General features: G+C 41.7%; 2 annotated features.

Annotated features, from left to right (window-relative positions):
- Window positions 1,171–2,370: an enhancer, noted in NCBI's record as "MED14-independent group 3 enhancer chr10:96140095-96141294 (GRCh37/hg19 assembly coordinates)". NCBI's record gives its function as "activates an origin of replication core promoter dependent on BRD2, BRD4, P300/CBP and CDK7 cofactors, and independent of MED14, by STARR-seq in HCT116 cells {active_cell/tissue: HCT116}" and the evidence as "EXISTENCE:reporter gene assay evidence [ECO:0000049][PMID:35650434]".
- Window positions 5,009–5,209: a silencer, noted in NCBI's record as "peak1050 fragment used in MPRA reporter construct". NCBI's record gives its function as "represses an SCP1 promoter by STARR-seq MPRAs in K562 erythroleukemia cells {active_cell/tissue: K562}" and the evidence as "EXISTENCE:reporter gene assay evidence [ECO:0000049][PMID:32103011]".

Genomic DNA, 5,867 nt, shown 5'->3' with positions numbered 1-5,867 from the left:
CTCTGGGGTCCCAGCTTCTCAGCTGATCATTTACACACAAAGGCCCAAAAGCCTCATGTGCCTCCTATAGACAGAAGTTGACAGGAAATCATAAGCTGTCCATGGAAGGAACAAGGATCATTAATAAATGGGTTCCTCAAAAAGTCAAAATTCACACAAATTTCAAACCAAAAGAGACTGATTCCCTGACTAGGAATTAAACCTAGGCCATGGCAGTGAACCTGTGGAATTTTAACTATTAGACTACAAGGCGGAGCAGCCCTGCCATTGTTAATCCCACAAGAGATCACAAGCAGGCAGTCTGAGTGTACAAAGGATTCTAGCTTTGTTTTAGGTCAGACCTTTGCTCTTTAATTTTGTCAAGATAATTTCTTTTTCTTTTTCTTTTTCTTCTTCTTCTTTTTTTTTTTTTTTAAGACAGAGTCTGGTTCTGTTGCCTAGGCTGGAGGGCAGTGGCACGATTTTGGCTCACTACAACCTCCGCCTCCCAGGTTCTAGAGATTCTCCTTCCTCAGCCTCCTGAGTAGCTGGGCTTACAGGCACCCACCACAACTCCTGGGTAATTTTTGTATTTTCAGTAGAGACAGGGTTTCACCATGTTGGCCAGGCTGGTCTTGAACTCCTGACCTCAAGCAATCCACCGGCCTTGGCCTCCCAAAATGCTGAGATTATAGGCATGAGCCACCACACCCGGCCTGTCTAGAGAATTTCTTCTCCTTCTTCTTGTTCTTCTTGTTCTTCTTCTAATTCTTCTAATTCTTCTTCTTTTTTTTTTTTTTTTTTTGAGACAGAATCTCTATCTGTCGCCCAGGCTGGAGTGCAGTGGCATGATCTCGGCTCACTACAACCTCCACTTCTCGGGTTCAAGCCATTCTTCTGCCTCAGCCTCCCAAGTAGCTGGGACTGCAGTCGCCTGCCACCACACCTGGTTAATTTTTGTATTTTTTTAGTAGAGACGAGGTTTCACATGTTGGTCAGGCTGGTCTTGAACTCCTGACCTGAGGTGATCCATCTGCCCCGGCCTCCCAAAGTGCTGGAATTACAGGTGTGAGCCACTGTGCCCAGCCCTGCCTAGAGAATTTCTAAGGCTAGCCATGATACTATTTTGAGTCTCTTTTTTAAAAACTTAATCTTTCTTTACATACAAATAAAGTAATTGTTTAGAATAAGAGATCTCTAAACTTCCTTTTTTAAAATTTAGGAGTCTTTCTAATTTAAAGGACCCATTTTTTGGCCACTGACTAATTTCTTTCTCTTTTTTTCTTTCTTTTTTTTTTCTTTGAGACAGAGTCTCACTCTGTTGCCCAGGCTGGAGTGCAGTGGCACGATCTCAGCTCACTGCAACCTCCGCCTCCCAGGTCCAAGTGATTATCATGCCTCAGCCTCCAAAGTAGCTGAGATTACAAGCATGCACCACCACACCCTGTTAGTTGGTATATTTTTAGTAGAGACGGGGTTTCACCATGTTGGCCAAGCTGGTCTCAAACTCCTGACCTCAAGTGATTCGCCCATCTGGGCCTCCCAAAGTGCTGCAATTACAGGCGTGAGTCACCACGCCCAGCCTGATTAATGTCTAATGTTGTATTCATTCCAATAGTGACTCAGTCCAATAGCCTTTTTGTGGAAGGTGAGGAAACAAGTCCGAAGATCCCCGACAAAAAATTCACTCCCGGGAATAGGCTAAGATAGACAAACTCTCCTAAGAGCTTGACACATTTGGAACAAAAAATCTTGAGTTCCCAGCCATTTTCAGGCTGGTCACCTGATGTCCTCTGAAAATCACATTCCCAGGATGGTGGAGATCAAGAGAGAATACTTGCTCACAAGTCAAACCCTCAAGGATATAAAATAAGACAAGCAGAAACCTCATCTGGTACCCTTTTTTATAAAAGAACAACACAGAAAGACAAATACAAAGGGGGAAAAAACAAACAAACAAACAATTTCTATGAGGAAAGGGATCAAACAATATGAATATTCATAACAAAAGACCAAAAAATATACCACAGTCACTACACCCAAGACTGGTCACACAAATCCTTTTCTCCTATTCATCAAAATTTTGCAGAGGAAAAAGAGAACAGTGATTTTCACCATCTACTCAACCCAGTTTCCACAGAGAGGCCTGGAGCCTGACTGGCGAGAAATTCTTACCCTTTGTTCTGGCTTGTCAAGTCCTGGGTTCCCTTCACTGTGGCTTCTGGAAGAACAGATCCGCTTTGGTGATCCCGCTCACAGCACCAAACTTTAGGGACCAAGGTAAAACTTTTCCTTTGCCTCCTGAAGTTTCACTGAAAAATCAACCCACAAAAGGCAGGTTAACTGGAGAAAAGGCATATAAATTTTATTAACATGTACACAGGGAAAAACACACACAGAGTGATTATCCATCCCCCAATGGAGTTTAGAAGCTTATATATCATCTTGAGGTTATGGAAGGAATGGGGGCTTGGATCCTGGCAAAACAGGTTATGGTAGCAGGGACATAAGGAAATACCTAAAGACAATGTACTTCTGTTTCTCCTCATACTTTTTATGCTTGAAACATTTATCCCTATGATGTTTGCCAAATGGCATCTATATCCATCATTTGTTCTACATTTAATTGGAATTCTAAGGTAAGAAAGAGATTTCCTTTCTCCTCTGTTTATTTATTCGATTATTTATTTATATCAGCACAGACTAATAGATTATCGTTTTATTCTACCTGCTTAAAATACAGTACTAAACTGTCCCATATTTGGTCATTGAGAGCCCCTAAAGTTCGTTCCTATGTCTTTTTTGACAGATACTCTTTTTTTTTTTTTTTTTTTTTGGAACAGGGTCTTATTCTCGCCCAGGCTGGTGTCCAATGGTGCAAACATGGCACACTGCAGCCTCGAACTCCTGGACTTAAGCAATCCTCCTGTCTCAGCCTTCCAAGTAGTTGGGACCTCAGGTGCTTGCCACCATGCCTGGCTAATTTTTTTATTTTTATTTTTGTAGAGATGGGGTCTCACTTTGTCTCCCAGCTGGTCTTGAACTCCTGGGCTCAAGCAATCCTCCTGCCTCGGCCTCCCAAAGTGCTGGAATTATAGGAAGGAGCCACTGCACCTAGCCTCTCATCTTTTTTTTTTTTTCTAAAGGAACTTTCTACTTTCTGGCACCACAAGATATTCCAGCTGCTTTCTGTATTTTCCCTGCGTCAGCCTTGGAAAGAGCCATTTTTCCAAAAAGTCCTGATTCCTTCTATAGAAAAATGGCATTTATACATTCAGATTTGGGAGCCAGGTACAGTGGCATATGCCTGCAGTCTCAGCTACTTGAGAGGCTGAAACAGGAGGATCACTTCAGCCCAGGAGCTCAAGGTCAACCTGGGACACATAGCAAGATGTCATCTCTAAAAAAATAAAATAAAATAATGATTAAAAAAAATCTGGGCGCTAAGTATGCTCATTGATACTGGAGTCTCATTGCTTCTAGGCCCTCTCAGCAGATAGAGGTAAGAGATATATGTAGGCCCGGCACGGTGGCTCATGCCTGTAATCCCAGCACTTTTGGAGGCTGAAGTGGGCAGATCGCTTGAGGTCAAAAGTTCGAGACCAGCCTGGCCAACATGGTGAAACCCTGTCTCTGTTAAAAATACACACAAAAAAAATTTAGCTGGGCATGGTGTTGTGTGCCTATAGTCTCCGCTACTTGAGAGGCTGAGGCAGCAGAATCCCTTGAACCCAGGAGGCAGAGGCTGCAGTGAGCTGAGATCGTGACACTGTACTCCAGCATGGGCAATAGAGCGAGACTCCATCTCAAAAAATAAAAAGAGAGAGATGTGGAGATATGTACACAGACACATAACCACACACATTTACATCTATTTCTGTATCCATATGTTTTTCTGTATGTCTGCGTTTTGTGTGTGTGTGCGTAGACAGAGAAAGAGAGATTATACTGATAGGTCCCATTTCAATCTAATACCATGGAGTTCTAGCCTTCTCCCCTTCCTTGTCTCTAACTCCTTTCTTAAATATACATTTTAAAGGCTTTAGTTTTTTACAATGCTGTTTCTCAGTGTGAATTAAAGGCTTCTGATACACACTGTCAAATTGCTTTTCAGAAAGATTGTGTGTTCCCTCCCTGCACTGTAAGAAAGTGCCCATCTTCCTGAATCCTCACCAAAGATAGATTATATCACTTTAAAAAACTTCCCAACTTTATAAAGGGACTTCTCTTTTTAAATTACTTCTTTTTTTTAACTACAAATGAAGCTGAACCTCCTCCCTACCCTGACATTACTTAGCCATTTATATTTCTTCTTTCAAGACTAAGTAAAATTTGTGTTCGGTCCAACTCGCTTCCAGTTCACCTTAGTGACTAGAAAATCCTAAGAAGTGTTTGAAAATTGAAAGGTGATCTTGGATAAGCGCACAAATTATGTGCTAAAATATAATCTTAAAGTACTTTAGATGTTTAGCAAAAGGCAACAGAAACTTCCATTAGAAGACAGTGATTACTTTTTATTTTATTTTATTTTTATTTTTTTTGAGATGGAGTCTCGCTCTGTCACCCAGGCTGGAGTGCAGTGGCATAATCTTTGCTCACTCCACCTCCCAGGTTCAAGCAATTCTCCTGACTTAGCCTCCCAAGCAGCTGGGATTACAGGCATGCCCCACCACGCCCAGCTAATTTTTGTATTTTTAGTAGAGACAGGGTTTCGCCTTGCCTGTAATAATGGTGGCTCACGCCTGTAATCCCAGCACTTTGGGAGGTCGAAGCAGGAGGGTTGCTTGAGCCCAGGAGTTAGAGACCAGCTTTGGCAACACAGCAAAACCTAGTCTCTACTAAAAATAATTTTAAAAAATTAGCCAAGCATGGTGGTGCACCCTATAGTCCCAGCTACTTAGGAGGCTGGGGTAGGAGGATTGCTAGAATCCAGGAGTTCAAGGCTGCAGTGAGCCATGATCATATCACTTCACTCCAACTTGGGTGATAGAGCGAGACCCTGCCTCTAAAACAAACAAAGAAATAAACAATAACAGGACCCAGCTTATCTTCACGTGTACAGGATGAGAGGAGGCTAGAAATTGTCCCACTGCCAACCCCGAGATGAATGCATATTTGACTTCTTCCTCTACTCTACGTTTACTTTATCTTACATAAACTGCAGATTTACTGAGCATGAGACAAACACAGAATTGGCTGTTCCTCCACATACATACAACATGTGGATTCAGTGAGAAATAATCAAAGCCTTAAAAGACTGTAACCACTTACCTAATTTTTTCCTACTCTCCCCTTTTGTTTTGTTTCCTCCTTCCCCATCCAGCCTGCTTTCTCCTCTTTAAAAACTGAACCCCTCAAAACCCTTTTTGGAAAAAGTGCGAGCCACAGATTCTACTGTGGGGTTTTTTTTTTCCCAGACACTTTCTCAACCTTGACAAAACAAACCTCTAAACTGATGGAGACCTATCCCAGATACTCTTTTTGGTTTATAAGACCCAGTTGGCATGATTTAGTCAAGGGCATGCATCAACTATCACCCAGCAGTTGTGCTCCTGGTTATACCCTTCAAGGAATTTTCTCACAGGTCCCCATGAGGACATGTTGGAGGATGTTCATTAAAGTGTGTGAGTGAAGTCCTTGTTGTGTGAGGTGAAAAGGAATTGGAGACAATCCAAAACTGGAGTAAATATGTACTAAGTGGCAGATGAACCACCCTGGAGCACTATGCAGCAATTAGAAACAACAGATTAGATATACAAAGAGCAGCTTGGACGAATATTAAAACCGTAGTGCCAAGTGAAAAAAGAAATGAAACTAATAAAACAATATCATAGACATAAATTAATAATATATAAACAAAACAGTCATTTTTTTACAATAACATGTTT

This window comes from Homo sapiens, chromosome 10 (genome assembly GCF_000001405.40).
Source record: "Homo sapiens chromosome 10, GRCh38.p14 Primary Assembly".
NCBI classification, from domain to species: domain Eukaryota; kingdom Metazoa; phylum Chordata; class Mammalia; order Primates; family Hominidae; genus Homo; species Homo sapiens.
The sequence above is the reverse complement of the archived record's forward strand: the minus strand, read 5'-3'. Positions and strand labels throughout refer to the sequence as shown.